We start from the raw sequence: 26,361 nt of genomic DNA on the forward strand, positions 1-26,361 counted from the left end.
CACCAGACACTGGGCTGCAGGAGGGCAGGGACCAGGGTGGCTGGCTCTTCATAAACTCAATTCAGTACCTTCTAAATGAATGGATGCCAAGACCCTCATCACTTTCCTCTCCCTTTGTCTCTGAAACTCATTGGCACAAGCATGTATTTTCTCTATTTCCAGTCCCTCTAAATGGCTCTGGATACTACTTGAAGTTGCTATTGTTTCCTGCTTCCTCTTCTGTGTTTATTTTTCCTCATTTTTACCATCTCCGTTTCACTGTGAAGCCAGGGAAGATGTTCAGTGTTAAGATCATATGTAGTGCTTTTGAGTGTCTAAGAGGGCAAACTCTCTATAAACCAAGTTTGCATTATGGGATAGTGATGTACATCTAACATCAAGGCTTCTTAAAATTCTTTTTGTTTGTTTTCAAAGCTTTTTGATTTAGTGTACAGAGAAGAGACTTTGCTTAATGTCATTAAAAGTGTCACTCGCAATGGACGGTCCATCATCCTGACAGCAGTTCTGGCTCTGATCCTCGTTTACCTGTTCTCAATAGTGGGCTATCTTTTCTTCAAGGATGACTTTATCTTGGAAGTAGATAGGCTGCCCAATGAAACAGCTGTTCCAGGTGGGTTTGGGATCTTCTGATCTTTTTAATGCTAAAAGATTATTTCCTGATTATAACTGAACTAAAGAAAATAACGACTTTAGTAATGCAGATATCTCCCCATTGTATCTCCCTAACACGCAGAGTGTGAATTTCAAATACAGGTCTTCATTCTCACAATGAATGTGGCAATGTGGCATATCAAATGCTAAGAGTGGGTGACCAGATCTGACATTTATTTATTCACTAACATCATCTTTTAAACTAGTGCAACTTTTTTGTAAAGCAGTGACCATACATATTGAGAGCGTTGGAGTATGCATCCCTTTAACTGAGTAAATCTACTTCTAGGATCAATACTTAAAGAAAAAAAGGCTGCCGACTGTGCACGTAGAAACAGACATATATGGGAGAACGTTCGCTGCAGTGTACAGTTGGAAGCAGTGTAAATGTTCGGGGGTGTTTCATCAGATCATGGTACATCCATGAGGTGGGGTGCCTTGCACATAGGTACATCTTTAGAAACCTCCATGGAAAAATACCCACAAGATGTAGTTGGAAATGGCAGAAGGATAACTATAGTAGGATCACATGTATGTCTTTTTTTTTTTTTTTTTCGAGACAGGATCTCACTCTGTCTCCCAGGCTGATGTGCAGTGGTATGATTTCACCTCACTGCAACCTCCAACCTCCCGAGCTCAAGCAATCCTCCCACCTCAGCCTCCCCAGTAGCTGAAACTGCAGGCGCCTGCCACTGCATGTGGCTAATTGTATTTTTTGTAGAGATAGGTTCTTGCCATGTTGCCCAGGCTGGTCTCGAACTCCTGGGCTCAGGCGATCCCCCAGCTTTAGCTTCCCAAAGTGCTGGGATTACAGGTGTGGGCCACTATGCCTGGTCTTATGTTTTCTTAAAAATTAAAAAGCCCATATACATATATTAAAACATGGATGACTGTACCTCCAGACTGCTAGCAGTAGCTCTCTCTGGGGCTTTTTTACTATATGCAGGTTTTACAGTGAGCTCATGTTATTTTTACACATAGCAAGAACAGAAGAGATTTCCAATTCTGAGAGTGAAAAAAAATGACCATAATACTTGAATGGTACCCAAGTGCCCTCTTCTCTCAGTTACAATAGTTGGCCCGACTTAGTGAAATACTACTGGTTTTTCATCCCGAGTCTAAGAAACAGACTAGAATCGTTGTGGCTGACTGAGCCAGCCAGCCTTTGTGCTCTCCCTCCCAAATGCTGTGTTCTTGGCATGTATCTCCAGCCTCCCAAGTTGACACTAAGTGACATTTACTGCCAGCCATCTTAGAGTTGTGGACTAAACTGGCCTGGACCTTGGATTTCTATTAATGCCTGCTAATGCTTCTCGTGCAGACTTGGTATAAATCTTGCCAGAGTCTGTACGTTCAGTAGTATCTGTCTAAGAGTTTCAGCTGTTTGTCTTTAAAGTTGGAGAGGTGCTATTTAAGTGCGATATTTCTAGTAAGCCTACAGGAATTGACATTTTTGGCTTTTTTCCCATCCAGATCACCAAATGAAAGTGTAAATTGCATTTCTGCTTTGAATTTATATGCAAGATTCTAGGGTGTTATTTATGTAAAGAATTGTTTAATCAGCCGTGAATTGGGGACTTCAAACATTTTAACCATATGCTGCCAGATTGTTCATCATAAAATTTCCTTCTCTCTCCCAGAAACCGGCGAGAGTTTGGCAAGCGAGTTCCTGTTCTCCGATGTGTGTAGGGTGGAGAGTGGGGAGAACTGCTCCTCTCCTGCACCCAGAGAAGGTAGGACCTCCTAACTGTAAGCCCCATGTTAATATCGGACTCCTCCAGAGGCTTAGCTGATGCAGGTGATGTTGGAAGAAGATTAAATTTACTGCTCAGGAGTAAGGCTATAGCAAAGGGGAAAGGCTGAGAAAGAGGAGGGAGATGAAGGGAAAAGAAGGTTACACCTGAAGAAAAGATCTGATGTGATTCAGCCGATTTATACTGAGTGCCCGCCATTTGCCAGGGACTGTGGTGTACTCTAAGAGACAGTAATGTAGTGGAGGGTGCGGGCAGGCCAAATGGTGATTGCTAGAGAGTTGCCCAATGCTGGGAATAAGGATGGAATACAGAAGTTAGGCACCCGGCCTACTACTGGGCTAAGCGTATCATCAAGAAAGTGATATCCAAACTATAAAAGGAGACTCTTGATATTCCAAGGAGAGGGAATAGTACATCTAAAGGCTTTAAAGGTAAAAAGAAAAAAACAGCAAGTTTGGGGAGATAATGATTATAAGGAAGGAGAGTGGCAAGAAATGAAGCCACAGATACAAACAAAGGGCTAGATCATGAAGGATCTTCTATGTCAGGCGTAGGAGGTTAAACTTCGTCCAGAGGATGGTCAGGGGTTGTTGGAAGATGAGTGATGAAATCTGTGTTTTAGCAAGACCCTCTGCAGCTGGAGAAAGGAATGAGGCACACAGCAAGGCATGGCTCTTACTGCATAAACCAGTGAGAATGAACAGCCTCCAATGTAAAGCAGTTGATCCAGAGGCCCTGCCGTGAAATATCCCTGGATATAGTCCTCACACCATTCCCAGTGAGGAACCTGTGTCCTGTGGCATAACCCTCATCTGAGAGACAAGAGGCCTGTGACTCAGAGTTGCGAAGCAACTCATCTGACATGAAAAGACTGTTTGCGGCTGGGTCTGGGGTTTAAAACCTGAAAAGGACAGGGCATGTTTTAGATCCCACAGAGGGAGAGCAATACTACCATAGCTGGAGAAATTAGCGGGGGTTAGCGATGAAAACAGTTGCCCCAGACGACTTTAGCTTTTGAAAGAAAATAAGAAAATTCTTGGCTCTTGATTCCTTAATTTTATTCTTTCGTGTGCCTGGTGAGATGGCATTCAGGAAACAGGATTTCAAAATCCCGGTCTCTCTTTTCTCCTCACGTTTTCTCTCTGTTGTTACTTGCCGTGTTCACAGAGCTGGTCCCTGCAGAAGAGACGGAACAGGATAAAGAGCACACATGTGAGACGCTGCTGATGTGCATTGTCACTGTGCTGAGTCACGGGCTGCGGAGCGGGGGTGGAGTAGGAGATGTACTCAGGAAGCCGTCCAAAGAGGTAAATTAATCCCGAGGGGAAGGAAGGGCAAAGGGGGCGGGTGGGGTGGTTGGTGGGAGCACCATGCAGCGGTGTTGAGTGTAAACTGAAGACGCAGAGGAAGAGCTGGGAGTAGGGCTGAGTAGCTGCGGAACTAGCTCATCAGGCTCCTTTCCTCTCTATCACGTGAGGTGGTGCCGCAAAGTCAGCTGCGTGGAAAGGGTTGGCTTTGGCTCTCTGTTCAGTAGACTTAGGGACTGTTTCCATCAGGGTTAGGCCTGATCCACCTGAACGCACAGTGAATATCCCTCCTGGCTGTGTCACACCACACTTGGAGAAGTCGCAATTGAGACAGGGGACATGAAAAGAGATGCAGTTTTCAGTTTAAAAGTTGAATGCCCAATTTAATTTCTACCCAAGTAGATGAGGTCTCACTTGAGCTGTGCCCCAGGCTCCGCAGACCAAAGGGTCGCAAGGGACCCAGACTGATCCAGACACCTCTCTTTTCCAGGAACCCCTGTTTGCTGCTAGAGTTATTTATGACCTCTTGTTCTTCTTCATGGTCATCATCATTGTTCTTAACCTGATTTTTGGGGTTATCATTGACACTTTTGCTGACCTGAGGAGTGAGAAGCAGAAGAAGGAAGAGATCTTGAAGACCACGTGCTTTATCTGTGGTGAGTGTCGCTGGCCAGCTCCAGCAAGGGCGTGAAGGCCCAGCGTGGCAGAGGCATGTGGATACTGCGAGGGTGTGATGGGCGGGGTGCCTGCCCAGTTATGCGGGAGGGGGCACCGGCTGCTGCTTCGTCTTGACTCTTCTACCCTCTGCCGTGAGTGAGGCTCTCCTTGGCCTTTATTCTGCTGGGAAGTATTTACAGACCTGGGTTCTGACTGAGCTTCTACCACTTAACTAACTGTGTAACATCATTTAGTCATTTAACATCTTTAATCCTTCTTTCTTCATCTGTAAAATGGGTACAATAACATGTCCTTCTCTGCATTATTGTGAGAATTATGAGAGACAGCGTATGTAACACTCCTAGCTAGAACCTGGCACACTATAGGCACGGGAGGAGAAGTAGTGAACGGCTACGTAAAAGAGGTGCATGGACACCAAACAAATCATTTTCAGTATAACTACAGGAAAATATTTGTAAATGTAAACTAATCATGGAGGAATCTGGGGAGCTGAGTAATCATTTCAGGATTATTCATAATATAGCTACTAAATATATAAATTTCCTAGTGGTATGTATGCTAAAAAAAAAGATCAGTTTCCAATTAAAGACTTAAATTCTTTGCTTTTTGCCCCCTTAAAACCTTTTTAAGCTTTTTGCTTTGGCATAATTTCAGAGTTATAGAAAAGACATGACTATCCAAAGAATTTCTATATATTCTTCACCCAGAATCCCCAAATATTAATATTTTATCTCATTTGCTTTATACACACACACACACACACACACACACACACATTTTCTAATGTGAGTGGCTGACAGTGATGCTTTCTTATCCCTAAATATTTTAGTACACATTTCCTAAAAACAAGAACATTCTCTTGTGTATCTACAGTATAATTATCAAAATTGGGAAATTAAAACAGATCCAATACTGTTATCTCATCTACAGACCTTATTCAAATTTCACCCTTCATTCCAATAATGTCCTTTGCAAATCCCACCTCCTGCGGGGCTTCAGTCACCATGCCTCGTGAGCCTCCGCTGACACTGTTGAAGAATGTAGGTCAATTATTTTGTAGAATGTCCCTTGATTTGAGTTTGTCTGATGTTTGCTCATGGTAAGATTGAGGGTATGTATTTTCCACAGGAATATCAAAGACATGCTGTTGTGTTCTTCTCATTGCATCGTATCAGGAGGCATGTAATGCCAGTTCATCTTGTAACTAGTATCTCGGCTCACTGTAACCTCCACCTCCCAGGGTTCAAGCAATTCTCGTGCTTCAGCCACCTGAGTAGCTAGGATTACAGGTGCCTCTCACCACAACTGGCTGATTTTTTGTATTTGAGTAGAGATGGGATTTCACTATGTTGCTGAGAGGCTGGTCTTGAACTACTGAGCTCAGGCAATCTGCCCGTTTTAGCTTCCCAAAGTGTTAGGATTACAGGCATGAGCCACTGCGCCCAGCCGTGATACTAACGTTGATCATTTGGTTAAGGTGCTAATTGCCAGGTTTTTCCAGTAACTCCATAAAGTTACTTTTTTGGAGAGACACTCTGTAAATATCGTGCTATTCCTTAAACTTTCACCCCTCAGCTTTAGCATTCATTGATGATGCTTGGCTAACTCTATTATGATGATGGTTGCCCAATGATGATTTTTATGTTATTATTATTTCTACATTTCTTTATTGGCTTTTTATTGTAAGAAAGAATTTTTTCTTCTCCCCACATATGTGTTTATATTTCTGTGTTTGTATTTGTAACTACATGGACTTGTGGATTTTTATTTTATTCAATGGGCTATTTATTTTGATGTTCAAATTGCTTCAGATGTGGCCAGTGAGAGCCCTTTCCAGCTGACTCCTGGGTTTAGTCATGTCATCATCGTTTTCTATGTACTTTCTTACTTTTTTGGCATCATAATATATTCCAGGCTTAGGCTCACCTTGTACATTTCCTGAGCCATCCCTGGAATCAGCCATTTCTCCAAAGAGCCCCGGTTCTTTTTACTGGAGAAAGGTATTTAGAAGCCAAGATCTGGGGACTGAGTGTGCTCATTCCTGTTGGTGTGCTGCTGCTCTCAGGGCTTATTAGGGTGCAGATCTAGAGGAGAGGTGTATGCATCTGCATATGTGTGTATGTGTACACAGCACATGTATCTGCACACATCTGTGTATATATGTATGAAAAAGGATGAATTCATACTGATACCTTTAATTCCGTTTCAGCATTACAGGGTTTATTCTTTCTCCCTTTCTCTATTTGTGTTCTTTTCTCAGGCAGTGAGGAATCCAGCTCCCATTATCCGTGATATATTTATTTGATCAATCCTAGAATACGTACAGACTAGAATTGCTCACCCCGGCCTCTTCAAATTATAAACCTACCAGCTAGAGTTCAAAATTTGTTTAAAGTTCTTGTTGTCCTTACTTATTCTGTCTCCTCAAAAAACCTTAACATGTCTGCATTTTGGCATTTACCTGGGCGAAGGGACTTCACATTCCCTGGTTGCATGCAATATGTGAGAGTGTCACACACATTCTCATTTTACCCCTAAACACTCCTGGAACCTAGACGGCGGTCTCCCCATTCACTAACAAGGCCACTAAGGCATGTGGAGATGAAGCAGCAACTGCCAAGTGGCAGAGGTGGGATTCAAACCCAAGTCTGTCTGACTCACAGCCTGTGTTTTCCTGCCATAATGTAAACATGAATGTACTTATAAGGCCGACAGAATCCAACTCTTTATAAAGACAGGAGTGAAACCACAGCCCCCTTTCTACTGACAGTTCTGTTATTGATTTTTTTTCTTTACCAAGGCTGCTCAGCTGGGGCTGGGGGCTTTTTGTCTCATTTTTAGGCTTGGAAAGAGACAAGTTTGACAACAAGACTGTCACCTTTGAAGAGCACATCAAGGAAGAACACAACATGTGGCACTATCTGTGCTTCATCGTCCTGGTGAAAGTAAAGGACTCCACCGAATATACTGGGCCTGAGAGTTACGTGGCAGAAATGATCAAGGTGAGTGGAAAGGCCTCCTGGGAGCAAGGTGGACTTGGGGCCTACTCAGCTCTGAGCAAGGCCCCAGCAGCCCATCGGGGAGCTGCACAACAGAAGAATAACATCCGATGTTGCCTGAGCCCTTCTCACGGATGGGGCGCTGTGCTCTGTGAACTTCGTGTGTTCTCTGGAGTGATCCTCAGAACCACTAGATAGGTGGTATTGGCCTGTGTTAGTGGGGGAAATGTTGAGCCTCGGTGAGATTAGCACGTGACCACGGAACTGGGGCTGGGATTTTAATCTGGATCAAACTCCATAGCCCGATTTCCTGTCGCTATGTGAATCTGCCTCTTTTCTTGATAGTGCTTTTTTCCCCTTTCTTTTTAATTAACACCTACTCTCTAAGAGGTGTCTTAGAGGCAAAGTGACTGCTCACTGCAGTCCAGCATGGTTTGTGTTTGCCCTCAGCCTCGCCTTTCTGGGAGACACTCTACTAATCGTTAAGAAGTGATCATATGATGGAGGAATTTGAGTTCCAAATTAATCTTTTCGCTGATGGGAAGTGTGGATACTGTGTCCCAGGAAGCGGGGAAGCTGCTTCAGGCTGTTAGAGAACACTTCTCGGGCAGAGTTTGCTGAGACACCAAACGTGCGCTGTGGGTGTCCCGGGCCAGCTGTCCTTTCAGACCTGTGCTTTCCGAACATCATTAAAATGTTCAGGGGTGGATAGTGGCGTGAGGAGCATGAACTGTGAAATCGAGGGAGTCTCTGTGATTCACGCTGGCTGCCTCTGAGGAGAAGGGGCCAACTCTCCTTCCAGTTACCAAGGACTTGAGTGCTCGGCCTGATAATGACTTACCCTAAAGGAGCCTGCTTTTTACCTAGATGTAATTTTCAGGCTTTTTATGTAAAGATACTGGAAGTCAGGTCTGTTCAGATAAGTATCATCATTGACAGGCCTAGAGGCAGCCAGGCTTTCAGTTTTATTGCCAGCAGGGCAGCGATTACGTGGTTGTGTTTGCTGAATACCCCGATTACAGAGGCACAGAGGCCTCTCCTAGGTTCTGGAGGGCTTTCTGGAGATTCTGTGCCGTCTGTACCCTTGAGGTCCTTAGAGTTGAATTCCATGCTTCTCAAATTTTATTGTACATATGAATCACCTGTGGAGCATGTTAAAATTCACATTTTGACTCAGCAGTCACTTCCAGGACTTGAGATATTCTGCATTTCCAACAACCTTCCAGGAGATGCCGAAGCTGCTGGCCCGGGAATCACCCTTTAAGTAGTAAGAGCCTCACAGAGGAGACAAAGCAGATGCTTACTTAAGATTACTCTCAGAGGGGTTGTGCGAATGATGAGGAGAAATATTCCTAATCCTTTACATACATTTGGCCCTCTTCGGTTTGTAAAATCCTCTCACCTCTAGTATTGTATTTGGTTGTTAAAGTTACGCTCCATGGGGAACCCGGAGGAAGGGACTTCTGGGATGGGGAGAGATGGATGGAGGTTCACGGCAGAGGTAACTTTTGAAAAAGGTTTTGAAAGAGAGGATGAAGTCACTAGGGTCATAGATTAGCAGAAAGAAAGGAGAAAAAAAAATCAGCACAGACTGGGGAGAAAAAGACACAAGTTGCAGAATGCTGATGATGGCTTATCCCTTTTACAGATAAAAGCCAGGCTGGGGGTTAAGTGACTTCCTAGGAACAGTTCAGAAGGAGCTGAGCCAGAATTCAAACCAGGCTTGGCTGACTGTAGAAATCGCACTCCATAATCATGTCGTTGATAGGAAACCGGGAGGGTGCTGGTGATTCTGGGAGCAGACTCCTATTTTTAAGCAGCTTAGGGATTCTGATGGGTGCCAGTGTGGATTTCCACAGGTGAGGTTTCCAGGGTCAGGACACATTAACTGAAAAGTCCTCAGTTCCCTTCTTTTCCTCCAATTGTTGAAACTGGCAAATTAAACCCTACTCGATCAGCATTTATACTGACACAGACCTGTCCACATGCACAGATAATGACCTTCATTTGCATTCGATGTCTTAATGTCTAGAGGAGGCCTGTACTGTTCACCCTTGACTTATGTTCCTTCTCACCCCTGACTTTGTTCTCTTGTCTCTGAAGTGTTTGAGTGGGTCCTATCTTTACATCTTCCAGGGGCCAGTTTTGAAGTTTTCTCTTAATCACCTTACTTTCCGGTCACAGAAAACTCTGGCACACTTTTGGGTTTCTGTCTCAATCGTGGAGACTTAAAGGCGTCTTGTGAGCAGTCACTTGATAAGGATTAAGAGCCAGAGTGACCTGTAGCCCGCCACCCACCCAACCCGGTCAGAGCCTGCTGCGTGGCAACACTCTGAGGGCCTGGGTGTTTGGTGTGCTTTCTCCATCCACATCATTCTTTGATTATATGAGACATCTTGTCAGAAAACCTAAAAATCTTACAGCATCAAGGAATTCTTCTCTGAATGTTAAAGTTGTTGCAGAACCAGATGTTCTGTGCGCTAAGTGGTGGCTCAGAGAAGCGTCAGATCTACCGCTAAACGGTGGTGCCTTCTCGCCTGCGCTGTCTGCTGTTGTGTTTAGGCTTGAAACCACATGAATCCCTGCTGCGGACTCCTAAGGGAGCATTAGCCCCATCAGGGTAGCGGCTGGGGTGCCCAGCTGAGTCATTTGGTGGGGGTGGGGGCTGGGGCCCCATGGGACCTCAGAGCTGCGGTGCAGAGGCTACAAGACCACCTGTGGGCCCCACTTAGTCACACCCTGTGGAGGCAGCCACAGTTGGGATGAGGCCCCCACCAGCCTCCCCACTGAGCGGGGGCATCCTACCCACTGCTGCTGGGAGGGAAAATCAGGTGATCTCTTGAATGAGCCAACCCCAGGAGGCTGTAGCTACTCCAGCGTGGAGGACAGAGAAGGGACAGCTGATGGGCAGTGGCAGAGATGGAAGGAAAAGCAGGCTGGAGGGCTCACTGCCCTCTTGCCTTTGATACAGGCTCTTTTAGGGTATGTGGTCCTCAGGAAAAATACCTCTTGCCTAACTGCAGAAGGCTGGGGATGTTGGATTACTCTGCAGCTCTCCTTTAGCCCATGGTTGAAGATCCCAGAGACTCCTGGAGACTTGTGGAATGACAGCTGCCAAAAGGCAACCCAAGAGAACCAATGGAAAAGCCCTCAGATGCCACTCGGGCAGGGAGGAGCCCAGCTGCCCTGAGAGCAGCTCCTTGCAGACAGCAGCATCAGGGATGGCAAATGGGTTTTCATCTCACCCCACACTGGGTCATAGAATTTATCTGGGGCACTGTATTGAGAAGGGTTCTTGGAAACCCAGGCTGACTTGGAAAGAATGACATTTGACGAGTCATGAATGAAAGAGGTGTCTGTGTGCAGAGCCATGGCCCTCCCTGCCTAGTCCCATGTCCCAAGGGCACATTCCCTGCATTGGTGGCTGCTCAGCCATGTAAAAACACAACAGCCTGTCTAGATCAGATACTTCACCTTTCCTAATTCCTGCTGGAACTGCCTACAGACAAGGTGACAGGACCTCTTCTCCCTGTAGATAGAAACAGTGTGTTTCTTGTCATCTCTGGAGGGAGGGAAAGAGGGACCACGTAAAGAAGCTCTGTCTTAAGTTGAGAACTCTGCAACTAGCTGTTCACCCACAAGTTAATCTTGTTTAAACATAATAGATCATATATTTCCCTCTCCCCTTTTGGTCTTCCCCTTTCTCCTTTCACTGGAGATGGGAGTATCCCCCTCAAAGCTGGGGCCAGGCTGATGCCTACTATGAAGTCCTCACTACCCAAGAAGTGGAGGTAGAAGATCCAAGGTGAGAGTTTCCGCTCTGTGCCTTCCCTCGCCGTGTGACCCTGGGCAAGTCACGGGACTTTGCTGACCTGGGTTTCCTGTCTGTACATCGCGGTTCCTACCGCCTCACACATCCGTTGGGTGGTAGACATGAGCTAAATGAGACCTGGCAGGTGGGAGGCATGCACAGAGGGAGGGAGCAGGCGAAAGAGCAACAGGCCCAGAGCACAGCCAGCCAGGAAGCAGGGGCTGCGGGGCTGACAGCAGAGCTGACAGAAGCATCATTTCCTATGGTTCCAAAACTCTGCAAGACACCTTGGCTGTGGGCACGTTGTCACTAAGAAAAGTCAGAGTGGGCATCTTGACTCTAAGAGCCTCCTCCTCTGGAAAATCCCTGTGTCTTTCTCTCTCTTGAACTTTAAATCTTTAAGTGTCCTTCAAAGTTGAGGCAGGGCATGGTTGACGTTAGCGTTCTTTTCTCTGTTGAATTGGTCACAGATACTTGTGAGTTCTATCCATGTCTTTAGTGGTTTCCTCCACTTGCTTTTACTGCCCAGAAGTAGAGCTTTCATTGATTTGGGGAGTGGACCCTGAGTTCTGTGTATTCAAGGCAAACCTCAGATTAATCATGAAATCATTCATGGTTCACTGGTAGATTTGTCCTTCAACTCAAGCACCTGATGGAAGGCGATGCTGTCGAGTACTCAAATGACCAGGGGAAGTGAGCCCTCCTCCACTGTAACTCACAGCGCCGCTCATTCCCCGAGATGCAATCTCATATTCACTGACTTGGGCCCTGGACAAGCCTGGGCTTTCAGAGAAATGTGACTGTGGGGTGACCTGACATAGCCCTTGGCAGATCAAGGGAAGAGGGAAAAAAAATTTCCTTTCCCTGCGGGAACTTGAATTTTGGTGCCATCCTAGTTTTGGTGATAGCCTTTTTTAATAAGCAAATTTTTATTAACCTTGATCTACATTTAAGTTTTCACAGTAATTTATATGCTGCATACCCTTTTTTGAATAATTTTAGCACTGTTTGCCTTTGCTCTAGTGCCAACTAAACTGAGAATCTGTGTTAGTCTATAGATGATGATTTGAAAGGCCATGCTATTGGAGCTATTTAATCTGAATAAGTGGTGAATTCATTATGAGCACTTTGCCTGAGAGAATCTAGATGCTGCACCCTGGGCATGTTGCAGTTAAAAGACCAAATATTTGATTCCCAGCAAAGAAACAGCAGCCCATTTTTCTAGTATAGTCAAATGCAGGAGACTAAATTCTTCTTGAAAATTAGAAATTTGAGCAGCATTAAGAAGGAAGGTTGGTAAAGAAGACCAAACAGTAACTTAAGTACACAACAGTAACAATATGAAACTAACATAAGTGCCCATCAACAAATGAATGGATAAAGAAAATGTGGTATATAGACACAGTGGAATACTATTTGGCCATAAAAAAGGAATGAAATCCTGTCATTTGCAGCAACATGGATGGATCTGGAGGCCATTATCTGAAGTGAAATAAGCCAAGCACAAAAAGACAAATATTGCATGTTCTCATTTATATGTGGGGGCTAAAAAAAACAAAAAACAAAATTGATCACGTGGCAAGTGGAAAGATAGATAACAGAGACTGGGAAGAGTGAGTTAGGGGAAAAAGGAAAGGAGGAAGAGAAATGGGTTCAAGGGCACAAACATCCAGTTAGGTAGAAGGAATATGTTTGATAGCAGAGTAGAATGACTATAATTAACAAAAATGTGTGGTGCTTGGGTGATGGACGCCCTAGATACCTTGACTGGATCACTAGGCACTATATACATGTAACACAATTTCATATATACCCCATACATTTGTACAAATGAAAAAAATATAAGACATGTCTTCTGCTAATTATAGATTTCACTTCTATATGTTGGAATTCTGCCCGGTTAACATAACTCTTATATTTTCGGAGGTGTGTTTTTGAGTGAATTGCATATAAAGACGGCCTGATCAGATAGAACACTGTCCATCTACATTTCAGAAGGTCCCGATACCTTGGTCTACTCTGGCTACTTCTGTAGGACAGCATATTCGTCGACTAACGTGGACAGTGAAATATCGGGGGAGAACCTGCCCCCCCATGGTAGCTAGAGTGTTCTGGAATGCACCAGCGCTGCCGTTTCTGGAGGAGCAGTCTGTGCTGGGCTCTGCTTTACCTCGGGAAGGGCAGATTGGATAGTAAGGAATAGCTCGTGTGTAATCAGTGTGCGGAAAATAAACACTGTATGTGCATGATCTCACTCAATCCTCATCACAGCATGGTAGGTGGTACTATTAACACTTTATAGATGGGAACCTAAAGCTCAGGAAGGTCGAGCAACTTTTGCAGGGTCGCGGCGCTGGGAAGTGCTAGAGCCAAGACTGAAATCCAGAGCTGCTGAACCAGAACCCACCCTCAGGTTGTCCTGACCCACATATCCGCATGTGGTTACCTGTGTGCACATGCACACAGCCCTCCTGTCAGTCTGCAGCCATTGGCTGGCTGGCGGCATCTGGTTTGGACTGGCGCATCTTAGACTTGGACTGGCTCATCTCCCAGCCCCGACCCCGAGTGATACTGAATTAGCCTCCTTTAAAAGAGGCAAGATGCAGGAAAGGCCCCTCTGCGGGTAGAGAGGAGAGTGGGAAAGAGGATCTCCCGGGGATACTGACCGGCTCATGCATAAATCAGTAAGACAGGAGTTAGATGGGGTGTGACTTTCCGAGCTGCTGCCGCCAGCAACCACTGCTCAGACAACCACTTCACAACCCTAGGGGTTGTTGAGACGGTAGGAGTTCAGGAAGGGGTATCAAGTGCAGCCCTTGCAAAGGATGTATCTGAAATATATGTTAATTTTGACCTGCTGAAATATGAGAAACTTCACTACCCTCACCTTAGCTTGAAACAGGGAATGACATGTCCTTTGGTGGCCAGATTTGAGAGGTGTCAAAGTAAAAGGAGAAGGACGATTCACTACAACCACAGCCAGACTGGAGCTTCCACACCCAGGTGACTCATCTGAACGACTTTAACTCCCTAATAATTACACATGAGAATGTCTGCTCCATCATCCTTTAAGCCTGGTGCTGAGTTTTTCTCACAGTGGGGGTAGACACCTCCCTACTTTCTCTCTTTGCCTCTCCTGCTCCCTCTTCCTTGCCCTCAACATTCCATTGGAGATTTTCCAGTTTGTTCCATTACGGGTTAGTTCACTTGACCTCTTCAGAAACTAGCTATACAGGATCCAGAAGCAAAGGAGCAATTTTCCAGATCAAAAGTAGGCTCAATGTGGCAGCAAGTGGGATGCTCTCAGGAGGTGGTGGGGTGCTTTTGCTTAGGAGGGGAGAGCCCAGGAGCCCGCATTCCTGAAAAATGCTTTCCTGAGAGCTGCGGGTAATTTGCTTCAAAAAAAGTAACATGCAAAAGAGCCTTTTTGCCTGACAAGCACCTCCTGGGTAACATTTCCAAGCAAATAAGTTCTATTAGCTAATTCAGTGCTACTAAACATCTATGAGGAAACATTATGAGAAGATTCAAAAGCAGTAGGACATCTGGCCCTTGTGCTTATCTGTATTTGATAAGATGACACAGGAAGCAAATACAGAAAGCAACGTGTTAACAAGGGCAAAAGATCAAAATGGAAACTTAATACCTGCGTGTCACTACCTTCTGTTTAAAAGGGGAACTGGCTGAAGTCTTACCTTGACCCAAGAGAGAGCCTGTGAAATCTGCAGACACTTTCTGAAGTTGGGGACAACAGCTTCCAGCCAGAGGCAACGCAAGGAACCAAGTGCAGGGGCTGGTGGGAGGAGAGTTTCCTGCAGATCATGATTAGATAAGAGTAAGGACCTAGGTTTGGGGGAAAAGATGGTGGCAGCAGTGACCGGAGCCACGAAATGAGCCTGAAAATTCACACAGCCATCATGGGGCGTCTCACTTTAAGGAACTCAGAAGTTGGAGTCCCTGCCAGACAGCACTTAGGTGCAGGAGAGAGGAAGGGCGAGTCCAACAGGGCGTGCACTTAACCCTGGTCTGACCTTTCTGCCCGCCTGTGCACCTCCTCTGTGCATGAAGCAGGCAGCTCCTGGCTGTTGATAAAGTGCCGTGGACACCTTCTGCTTCGTGCAGATGCACGATGATGGGTTTGGGCTTTTATTCTGAATTCCAGTGAGGATGCTGGCAGGAAGGGAGTGCCTAGGTATGTTCCTAGAATATTGATATTTCAACATTGGTAGTGCTGAGCAGCAGCTTTCCTTGTGGCCTAACCTGGGAGGCCACGAGCATTGGTTAAAATGTCACCTGGGCTCTGACAAGCCCTTAACCATGGGTGAGGATACAGCCTGTGCTGCCTGCCAAATACGATTCCCAGAATGCCCCCTGAAGTTAGCTGGCACCACGGCAGAGTCAAGAATATCGGAGCAGGGAGGAGTGAAGAGGGATTTGGCACTGGCTTCCCGGTGGCTGGAAACAGTGTGTCAGCGTCACTGGACTCGCCGCCCAGCCAGCCAGCCAGGCCTCTCTCACCCCACCCTGTGCACTTGGGCTTGGGTTCGTGTCAGTGGCAGCTGCACAAAGCAGTTGCTGAGCTTAAGTTTCCCCACCCAGCCTTAGAACACATTCTGCCCTTTAGTCTAGGGAGGATGAAATCACCCCTTGTTCCGTGCAGCACTTCACTGGCACTTTCCTTTCATTGTGAGGCACTTGGCGTTTGGGCCCCGGTTCTGCACTGACCTCCCAGTGCTCTCCTCCGAATTTCCTACATTCTGACCTTCGTGGAGGGTGTGCCAGGTGCCGTTTGTAACAATGAGTTGAGCAGAGCCATGATCCTCCCTGAAGGAGCTTGTGTGCTAAGGGAGAGCATGGGGCGTGAGTCAGGTATACCCAGGAGTCTAGTCTGTGAGACTGTGCAGGACATGAGGGTTATGCACAGACATTGTTCCGTCAGCCACTGAAGACTCGCTTCACTGTGCATGAAACCACTTCTCCCCATTGGCTACTTCGTCCAACGATGTATGAGTTTGTACATGCTTATTATACACATGAAATACCTGCATACATGCACGTTTTCCTCAACTTGGCAGATCTGATAAGCTCCAAAAGTACATTTTCTCCCCACCGCCCATACCCTGACCCACCCTCCTGCTCCTGCCCCGACAGCACCACCACCGTGCTGCCCGGCTTGCCCTTTACTTCCAGACGTCCTAACTACATTTGTAACTCCCCTGCTTCAACTCCTTCATTTCCTGTGTATTCTAAATATTGACTGTGTCTGGTAGAGCTGGACTATAGTATATGATACTGAGAAGTGTGTCACCATAAAAATGCACTTATAAAACTGCTCTCACCTGGAAAATGTTCTGAATATGACTGTCTACATCAGGTATATATATTCAGAGTTCTTTAAAACCTGCGTCTTTACAATGAAGCCTACTGTCATGTCTCTAGGGAATGTGAGAATGAGGAAAAGAGGTTAGTATTTAGGGATAGTCATTTGTATGAGAAAGCTATACAAGGTGAACTAGACTGAGTTTCCACCTTTTACAAATCCTCTCTCTTCAGGGCCTCAGTTTTACCACCTATAAAATGAGGAAGTTGAATCAAAGGGTCTCTTGTGCCCTTTGTAGGGTCTAAGATTCCAATAAGCAACATTCAGAGTGCGGATAGGAGTTCGTGAAATATGAAACAGGAAGGTGTGATCCTTAGGGTCTGAGTCAGGGATCAGAGTACAAGGGGCTGGTTAGAAAAGGGGAGGGTTTGGAAAGGGTTAAGGAATTTGGAGACCATCCACATGGCCGATGATCTCTTTCCCCCTAAAGAGATCTAGCTGTGTGGAACCTTTCTTCCAAACCACTCTTAAGTCAATAACAGTGCTGGTACCCTTCTCAGTTCTTCATGAAGTCCTGTAGATGGCGAGACGGATAACATCTTCCATCACTTCTTTCTCGGTGTGTCTAGGCGGGACTGACCTTGAGTAAAACCATTTCAGCTCAGAGCTTTCCAGTATAAAAGCCCATCAGATGATAAAGCTGAGATGGAACGTGGTTGCGTTGAAGCAGCTTATTGGTGAGGATGTGTGTGTGTGTTTTCAAAGATAAATGTATCTTTCCCCGAAACAACAGCATAGAACTTTGGAAAGATGTTTCCCTAGGCTTAAAACAAACACAATGCATTGTTGTATAAAAGTAGTAATGGATCAAAGTTGAATACTACTGGAATCCAGAAAAGAATAGAAGAAAACCACGAAAATTGCTAAAATCCTCATACATAGCCACTGGGAATGTTCTGGCATATTTCTTAGCTAATTGAAAGTGCAGGGGAAGTTGCCTAAGCGAGATGTCATAAGCCAGCTTGGATGCTGATGTGGGGAGAAGGGTGAGTGAGCCTGATTGTTCTCTATTCAGAGTCTCAAATGGGCTCGCCCTGCCCTTGTCCAGCACGGGTGGCCGGCCCCACCTTTTTCTCCTCCTGTCCTCTGGTTTCCTCAGCCTGGCAGCCTAGGTGCCCAGGACCCAGCAAGTGTGCACCCTGTGTACCATGGTCCCTGTGCACCATGGCACCCTGTGGGTGCCCAGGAAATCCTCCACCGGTGGCCCCAGAATGACTTGAAAGGATTATTCTGAGGCTGGCTCTTCCTAGGGATTTCATCAGAAACGGGTGTGGTTCTCTCTGCTGGGATGAGCCCATCTTTGTTGCGCTGTATCATCCAAGAACAACTATGGAGTCTGGGAAGGGTGATTGGTCATTCCAGTCCAGCTGAAGATTATATAATGTGGCCTGTTTTGGTAATGTCATTCAGAGCTCAAAAACAGAACCAGACTGACACCTTGATTTATGCCGTTTGGATACCCTTCATGTGGCTTAGCTGGTAAAAAGAGAAATCAGTATCCCTAAAATTTTTATCCCAAAGAAAGAAAGGAACTATCTTTACCCAGGAGCTGAGCACTGAAATTAGAGTCAATACGTGGATTGCAGTGCTGACTCTATCCCAGCTCTAGGCAGATGACATACTGATTTATAATACTTTTGCATAATGCTTTCCAGTTTGTGGGACATTTTTATAGCCATCTGATCCTTACAGTAACCCAGTGAGGTAGCTGGTGAGGTGATCTCTTTCAAAAAAGAAAGAAAGAAAATAGACCAGGTTGGTGAGCTAGCTGACTTATACACTCATTCACCGTCCTGTATACACACAACTGAAACTCTTCTTATTACAGGCCATTGCTTTTTCTACTGACACACTAATGTCACAAGGCTGTGGCAGAAATGTACAGAACCTGTGAAATACAGGGATATTAATATGCATGTGGTCTGAAGTCACTGTACTTTTGGGACAAAGAGAACTGAATTCCTTGAATTTGGGGCTGGCCAACAAATTCCGGGTATGGAATCCCATTTTTAAAAAATTAATAGACTCACAGGATAGAAGAAGAAAAAAAATTAAAAAGAATAAAAGGATGATAATTTTTTAATAAGAAAAAATTACTAGACTTTATTTTTTAGAGCAGTTTGAAGTTTACAGAAAAATGGGGCAGAAAGTACAGAGTTCTCATACATGCCCTTCTCCTCCTGACTTCCTGCCAGTTTCCTCTGTTAGTAACGTTTTGTATTATTGTGGCCTGTTTGTTTGTTAAGATTTGATATGCCAATATTGGATACATTGATATTAATGTCCCTCCATCATTTGCTGCTTACTTTTCATGTTGTGCATTCTGTGGGTTTTCACCAATTCAAATGACACGTATCCACCTTTAGAATATCACACAGAATAGTTTCTGCTCTAAAAATCCTCTGCACACCTCCTATTTATCACTCCCTCCCTCCCTCCCCCTGAGCCTCAGGCTGTCTCTGATCTTACTGTGTCCAAAGATGGGATCCATTTTTTAGGGTTTTTTTTAAAACATGTATAACAGTTTTTTTTTTTTTTTTTTTTTTTTTGTGTGTGTGTGTGAAACGGAGTCCTGCTCTGTTGCCCAGGCTGGAGTGCATTGGCACCATCTCGGCTCACTGCAACCTCTGCCTCCTGGGTTCAAGCGATTCTCCTGCCTCAGCCTCCTGGGTAGCTGGGATTACAGGCACATGCCACCATGCCCAGCTAATTTTTTTGTATTTTTAGTAGAGACAGGGTTTCACTATGTTGGCCGGGTTGGTCTCGAACTCCTGACCTCAGGTGATCCGTCCACCTCAGCCTCCCAAAGCGCTGGGATTACAGGCGTGAGCCACCATGCCTGGCCTATAATAGATATTATTAAGTGGCATTTCAGAGCTACTGAACATAAAGATGACTATTTTTTCACCAAAACCAACAGATTCTGTGTTTTTGTTTTTGGAGGGTTTAGGTTTCATTTTGTTTTGCTGTGATCTTAGAAAAATTAGCTCTAAAGACTAATTTTTTTTTCTTCCTCTTCAATGAAAATAATCACCCTAGCTCATAAAAGGGACAAATGATTTAAAGTCCGTTAAGTGTCCCATATTCCTGCTTTTGAAGACATAAATATTATCTTCAAGCCTCCTCCTCCTGACATTTTCTGAGGGTTTAAATACATGGGGAGGCCAAATCTCTGTTTCCAGGCCTACCCCGTACCCCCTTCTAGTCGTTTCCATCACCTGAGCATCCCTAGGCATTCTGAGAACATCCAGTTTGTCTTCCTGCCTAGTGAGAGCAGTAGACATGAAGCTGCCATTTGAGTTGGAAAGACCATCTTCGCCTCCTTGCGTCTTCCCAGAGGGGATTCTCAAGGGCAGAGAAAGCAACAAGACCATTTTTCTAGGACCCATCTTCTCCCCCATGACCCTTTCTTTTGCCCTCAAGCCCCCCTCACCCTCAACGCCTCATTCTCTGATTTGGCTATAAAAGATTCCACAAAAATGTTCCATCGTTTAGGTGGTAAACGTAAAACTCTACCTGAGCAGACTTTCTCTGAGGAGGTGATTGATTACTCGGTAGTCTTTCTTAGAACAGCCTCTTCTTTTGAACCTGGGAAGAAAAAAAAATACCCCACTTCTCAGAATGATTCGCATTTGCATCATACAATCCAACTTCCTCCTCCGTCTGTCTGTCTTTGTCTCTCTCTCTCTCTCTCTCTCTCTCACACACACACACACACACACACTCACTCCCTCTCTCTGTCTCTCTCCCTCTTTCCAGTCAAGGACATTTCAAGAGGTTGGTCAGTACCACCCCCATATCTAAAACTTCAGTGTTTGCCTTCGCAGGGACTTTTCCAACTTTACCTAGAAAAGAACTAACCAGAACCTTAGCACTTGTGGTCAGCCTGCTTCCGGCTGTGGCTTCAGTTAGTTTGTCTGCTCCGAGAGAGGAAGCACTTGCTGTGACGGGAACTGTACTGGCTGGATTGTAGGAGGACCGGGGCAGACAGTGCCTAATGACATCGGTATGTGAGATGCCAGCAGCAAGGAGTGAGTGAAGCAAAGCAGACTGAAGCCAGAGTCAGACCCAGTGGCAGATGCGGCCGACAGATGCTCAGTGACCCCGTAATCCTCTCCCCACCTTCCCCTCCCAACCGCATATACACACACACACCCCAAGATAATTCACAACAGACAAAGCGTCTTAGCTGAAGATGACTTTTCCAAAAATCCATTAGAAGCCAAGACACTGAGACACGTTTTTGATCTTGAATAGATGATACAGGCAAGATTCTGCAAACATTTCTAGGCCTTCAGACGCTGGCTGGCTGGAGAGGCGTGGGTGACAGGCTTCACTGGAGTCATTCAGCACTCAAACAAGCTCAGAGTTTTGTATGAAAGTCTTAGCTAGAGAGAAAGTAATTGGATTCAGGTGTTCTCTCTGTGCCTATTCCAGTAACTGGGTTATAGTCTAAACATTTGCACTTTGAGATTTAGATTCTCTGTGCAGAGGGGGACCCTGTTGGTGGGGAACCTTATACCACACTAGAGCCTGTCCTACTGCACAGGATGCAAAGCCAACGGGAAATTGAGAGAACAGCTTGGCTAAAATTGCTAATTAATTTTAACTACCAGGTACTTCTTGGTAATTTGAGATTTAATTTCACAGCCCAGGATGATTATTTAATTAAAACACTGGTAACACCTAAATTTGGGGCTCTCCCCCACTTCAGTGCAGAAAAGATAAGAATGCTTGCCAGTGGGATCCCTCGTAGCCCAGCTTTTCATTATTAGATATTAAGGGAGGCACTGGGGGAGACTCTGTGTGGTGGTGATTGATAAATTTCTGGACCAGAAAATCCTTTTGCTATCTTTGCATTGAAGGCCTCCTGTGAAATGGAGAATGAGGCTTTATCCCTAGGATGGGAGCACATGGCCCATGTGGCCTGCACAAAGTATGACCTTCTTTGAAACGCCGTGTTTTAACATTTGATTGAGCACTTTGGGAGGTGGTGGTTGGATCACCTGAGGTCAGGAGTTCAAGACCAGTCTCTACTAAAAATACAAAAATTAGCCAGGCATTGTGGTGCATGCGTGTAGTCCCAGCTACTTAGGAAGCTGAGGCATGAGAATAGCTTGAACCCGGTAGATAGGCAGAGGTTGCAATGAGCTGAGATGGCGCCACTGCACTCCAGCCTGGGTGACACACCAAGACTCCGTCTCAAAAAAATAAATTGACCTTTCTATCTGGTCTACGTAACTTTTTGAATTTAATATAAAAATATTTCAATCATTTACCATTGATTAAAATGGATATTGTACATTCTAAAAAGATGCATTATTTCTTTTTATGGCTTTATGTACCCCTTGGGTGGGGCCATCAAGTCCCAGGATTACAGGTACGCCATGTAGCAGCACAAGACGCAGGGCATCAGTGCCTCTCCACCACCACTGAGGCGAGGGGCAGAGATGCCAGGAGCGGCCCTTGGCATGCTGATGGGCCCCATTCGTGTCTTCAGCACACACTCTTTAGACACTCACCCTTGGAGGTAGGGCCTCCGTGCAGCTCCACAGAGGCGAAGAACTATGCATTGAGACCTGGCCGGTGACCACAGTTCTTGGACTAAAGCAGCTTGAGAATAGAGACCTTGTCTTTCTCATCTTTAGATCCTCAGCGCTCAACCCCATGCAGGACACAGATATTGTAAAAGTTCAGTAAAAAGCTGTTGAATGGAGAAAGTCTGTGCATTTTGCATTTATTTGTTCAAAGACCCTTCTGAAATCATTGCCTAGAGGGCCAGGAGGTACATATGGCATGAAAGAAGGTGAGGAAAATTCTCATTTTAATCTGTAGTCATTTGGTCACTTGCTATTAGGAATGAGGGAGAGAAACTGTTCCTTAAACTTTCGGCTATGTGCAGACTCTTGCATTGGTTTTCTGGAGTCTTTCGAAGGCCTCATTAATGTGGACTCTGTTTGGAAATGTGTGTTTTCTATTTTTATAGAAGGTTTGCTAAGCAAATGAACATATGAAGGATTTGAAAGCCAGATTTTAGATGGATTCGCTAACATTTTAGGCAGTTTAGATTCATTTGCATGTCAGTAATAAGTGAGCTACAGGTGAGTTCCGACTGCTAGCAGTGAGGACTGTGAATGTCCATCCTCTCTCCTCTCCCCTGGTCTGGTAAGGCACGGCGGCCTTTCACAGAGTTCCTGCTTCCTTCTGTTTCCCTCTAGTCTTCAACAGTCCAAGCTGCTCCTGCCTGTCTGCCCTCATCCCCAGCTCCAGCCACACTGGAGCCTCACTGTGCCAGTGGCCTCTGTGAAATGCCCTCATGCTTGCCCAAGGGCTAACCTTCTTTAGGGCCAAGCCTTGCTTGAAGAGGATTTTAGCCAATCAATCAGTCACTGGTTGTTGGGTCTTACTTGGACACTACTCTCTCTACCGCTCCTAGATACAACATAGCCTGCATTATTCCTTAGTTAGTTTTTTATTTGTTTTCAGAGAGTCTTTCTGTCACCCAGGCTGTAGTGCGGTGGCACAATTATGACTCACTGCAGCTTCGACCTCCTGGGCTCAAACGATCCTCCTGCCCCAGCTTCCCGAGTGGCTAGGACTACAGGTGCCCACCACCACACCGAGCTAATTATTTTTATTTTTTATAGAGATGGAGTCTCACTCTATTGCCCAGGCCAGTCTCAAACTTCTGGCCTCATGCTATCCACCCACCTCGGCCTCCCAAAGCACTGGGATTACAGGCACCAGCCACCAGGACTGGCCTGTTAAAAAGAAAATCTAGATGGTCACTCTCCTTGACTAAATTGTAAGCACTTTGATGGCAGGAATTCTATCACATACTTAGGTATCAAAACTGTTTCTCCTTTGAGGGGGTCCAGGATGCAGTGACCATGTCTCTGTTGCTCACTGTAGTATCCTCAACATTGTTGTATCCAAAGTGGGACTTTGTATCTTTTTTCTTCAATTTGTTTTCCTCAATTGAGGTCAGTCTGCAAAAATAGGTAGCAGCCACCGTGAGTATCCAGGGCCTCGTGCTAAGTGATCTCTCTGCAGCTGTGCTTTGGTTTGTGGCTTCAGCAGCCCAGCCCACGTCATCCCTCCTCCCCTCGCCCTAGTGGGAGTGAGTGATCACCAGTGACCTGTCGCCTATGTGTGCCCTCTTCTGAAAAATGAGGTTTCCTCCTCAGAGTTGCATAGTCCTTGAACATGGGCTACTTCCTTGGTGGGAAGATGTGGCTGTGTCTGAAGGATTGACACAGGAGAGATGAGTACAGTCAACGATAGGCCACTGCAGCTGCACGGGAGAAAACTGGTTACAGGTGGGGAAGCACTTTGGGTTTCTCAGCTAGTCATCTCTGAAATGGAATATTTTTTAACGATCTTTTGCCCATTGCTCTGTGGTGGGAAATTGATGAATATAAGCTAATGTTAAGACACATGAATGAAGTGTTTATTCAGGGTATAGGAAGGTAGAGATTGCCATTTTTCTCCTCCAGCAGTCACGATAAGCAGCTCAGGCTTACTACTTAAGCATTTGTTATTAGGGTGCATGCAGAAGAAGAGTTGCATATCATTCTGTCCTTCCACAAGCTTTTATTAATATTGAATGTCTACTATGCTCTAGTCAGTATACTAAGGTGGTTCCTGCCTTCATAAAGCTCACAAACTAGTGACTGTGACCCTGCCCGCCCACCCACCAGTATCTTAAGCAAACACTCTATGACACCTTGTTGTCCATGTGGTATGACTGCTTGTGATATTTTTCATCTAGCTCTCTTATAGGGCTTCTATATTGCTAGATGGCCCTAGGTCAAGATACAGCTCAATGATCTCACTTGAGTTGTAATATTTAGACATGTCTCATGGAGTTTCATTATTTTAAATATATTGATGCCTTCTATTGTATACAGCAGAGGTGAGCAAACCCAGCCTGCTGCCCGCATTTGTAAATAAAGTTTTATTGGAACATGGACATACCCATTTATTTATTTACTGGTTGTTTGGGGGGTATAACGGAGTAGCTGAGTAGTTGTGACAGAGACCAGGTGGCCCACAAAGCTGAAAATATTGACACACAAAATGTCGCCGACCCCCACGGTGTACACAAAGCAACAATTATCCAGCATTCCGAGTGAGTGTGTGTGTGTGTGGGAGGGGGCTTGATTTGTTTTAGAAAGACCATTAAATGTATCCTTACAAGATAAAACTGGTCCAGGTGAGAATGACACCAGACATGTGGAATGAGTCAGTTTTCTTCCCCCTGTCTCATGCTAAGCTTTTCTTACTGTTCATTCCTGCCTCTCTGTACAGAACTTATGTATGCGGCATGCTCTTTGGGAGAAAGGCATATGTGGGCAGAAGGAAGTGAGGTGGGAGGAGGAGTTGTCCCATTCTGTTAACCAGTAGTGAGAAATACTGTTTACAGGCATAAGCTATAGACATCAAAAGGATGGGGATGGACGGGGGAGGAAACTGAATGGGCCTTTCTTAGGCTAGTTGCCAGCACCCATCAACCACTTCAGGCTGGAAGGAAAAGGAAACAAGAGGAGTGGTTTCTATAAGCTCATAAACGGGGACATTGACAGAAGAGCCTATTCCCCATTTTCAGCCTCTTAATGATCTCCTCACCCACGCAAACGCATACATGCACACGTATCTGTTAAGTGACAGAACACCTGGGACCTTAAAATTCACTTCACTTCAAGTGTTTGCAAAAGGTTTTCCCAGTATAATGCATTTTAAAATACACAGCATAATATGAGGCCCCTGGAGCAGTCAAATTCATGGAGACAGAAAATAGAATGGTGGTTGCCCGGGGCCGGCGGGAATGGGGTTAGTGTTTGATGGGGATGGAATTTCACTTGGGGAAGATAAAAAAATAGTTCTGGAAACAGATGATGGGGATGGTTGCACAGCAGTGTGAATGTACTTAATGCCACTAAACTGTATGCTTAAAATGGTTACAATGGTAAATTTTATGTTATGCATATTTTACCACAATTTTTTAAAAAAACCAAACTCATCAGCCATGTAATTTGCAAAGATCAGAGCAGCAGTGGCAGTATTCAGATTTGGAGATTAGGACTCTTGTTTAGAACCTATATTTCCCCTATATTTAAATTTAAAGTGGCTTCCTCTAAGAATTCAGAGTTCCATTGTATGCAATTAAAAAGATAGCTACTGAGCAATTAAAAAAATACACAGCACATAAGTTCTGCCATAGAAGGAGATAACCTAATGAGAGTTAGGAAACATGGCACGGTAAGCTGGCCTTTCTTGTTTTTACCTCTAGAAGTGACTCAGTCTTTTTTTTTTTTTTTTTTTTTTTTAATGTGGATTCTAGGAAAGAAACCTTGACTGGTTCCCCAGGATGAGAGCCATGTCATTGGTCAGCAGTGATTCTGAAGGAGAACAGAATGAGCTGAGAAACCTGCAGGAGAAGCTGGAGTCCACCATGAAACTTGTCACGAACCTTTCTGGCCAGCTGTCGGAATTAAAGGATCAGGTAAAGAAAGAAAATCCCAGCGCCTACCCTCCCATCACTATCCCCACCCACACCCACTATCACCACACCAAATCTGATGAGGAAAATCAGTAGTGCTTCATCTAGATGGAAAAGGGAGCCAGGCAACAGGGGACAAACCCACTCACTCCTCCAGTCTCCTCACCCCAATCCCCTTCACTGCCCTTTTCCAGGATAAAGCCATGGTGCTACTTTCAGTGCTGCTCAGGACATGGTTTTAATATGAAAAACAAAACCAAAAAAAAGGAGGGAAATGCA

The 26,361-nt window shown here is 45.2% G+C and overlaps 1 protein-coding gene and 1 long non-coding RNA gene across 11 annotated transcripts in view, besides 4 other annotated features; one reads left to right on the plus strand and one right to left on the minus strand.

The window, feature by feature from the left end:
• Positions 1 to 26,361, plus strand: part of ITPR1 (inositol 1,4,5-trisphosphate receptor type 1) — a 354,159-nt gene that overhangs the window by 317,503 nt on the left and 10,295 nt on the right. For all 4 annotated transcript variants that reach the window (NM_001378452.1, NM_001099952.4, NM_001168272.2 and 1 more), the window contains 6 exon segments: positions 415 to 610; positions 2,292 to 2,384; positions 3,573 to 3,712; positions 4,203 to 4,368; positions 7,232 to 7,392; positions 25,924 to 26,085. In NM_001378452.1, the coding sequence (NP_001365381.1) occupies positions 415 to 610; positions 2,292 to 2,384; positions 3,573 to 3,712; positions 4,203 to 4,368; positions 7,232 to 7,392; positions 25,924 to 26,085 (918 nt within the window).
• Positions 3,225 to 4,424: an enhancer, noted in NCBI's record as "MED14-independent group 3 enhancer chr3:4855759-4856958 (GRCh37/hg19 assembly coordinates)". NCBI's record gives its function as "activates an origin of replication core promoter dependent on BRD2, BRD4, P300/CBP and CDK7 cofactors, and independent of MED14, by STARR-seq in HCT116 cells {active_cell/tissue: HCT116}" and the evidence as "EXISTENCE:reporter gene assay evidence [ECO:0000049][PMID:35650434]".
• LOC124906209 (uncharacterized) overlaps positions 3,442 to 26,361 on the minus strand; it is a 73,328-nt gene continuing 50,408 nt past the window's right edge. For 3 of the 7 annotated variants that reach the window (XR_007095795.1, XR_007095796.1, XR_007095794.1), the window contains 3 exons: positions 20,097 to 20,168; positions 14,896 to 15,012; positions 3,442 to 3,581 (listed from right to left, as the gene is read on the minus strand). This is a non-coding gene — a long non-coding RNA (uncharacterized LOC124906209). Of the gene's footprint in view, positions 3,582 to 14,895; positions 15,013 to 20,096; positions 20,169 to 20,425; positions 20,510 to 26,361 lie in introns of those variants that run through there. The other 4 variants (XR_007095793.1, XR_007095792.1, XR_007095790.1 and 1 more) reach the window with 4 other exon arrangements.
• Positions 7,246 to 7,632: a silencer, noted in NCBI's record as "fragment chr3:4859780-4860166 (GRCh37/hg19 assembly coordinates)". NCBI's record gives its function as "represses an EF-1alpha promoter that drives an FKBP-Casp9 reporter gene in an ReSE screen in HepG2 liver carcinoma cells {active_cell/tissue: HepG2}" and the evidence as "EXISTENCE:reporter gene assay evidence [ECO:0000049][PMID:32094911]".
• Positions 13,695 to 14,195: an enhancer, noted in NCBI's record as "H3K4me1 hESC enhancer chr3:4866229-4866729 (GRCh37/hg19 assembly coordinates)". NCBI's record gives its function as "activates a minimal SCP1, AML or CMV promoter by ChIP-STARR-seq in primed H9 embryonic stem cells {active_cell/tissue: H9 hESC(primed)}" and the evidence as "EXISTENCE:reporter gene assay evidence [ECO:0000049][PMID:30033119]".
• Positions 23,823 to 24,092: an enhancer, noted in NCBI's record as "active region_19356". NCBI's record gives its function as "activates an Ori minimal core promoter by ATAC-STARR-seq in GM12878 lymphoblastoid cells {active_cell/tissue: GM12878}" and the evidence as "EXISTENCE:reporter gene assay evidence [ECO:0000049][PMID:35858748]".

The sequence above is a fragment of the Homo sapiens genome, chromosome 3 (genome assembly GCF_000001405.40).
Source record: "Homo sapiens chromosome 3, GRCh38.p14 Primary Assembly".
NCBI lineage: Eukaryota > Metazoa > Chordata > Mammalia > Primates > Hominidae > Homo > Homo sapiens.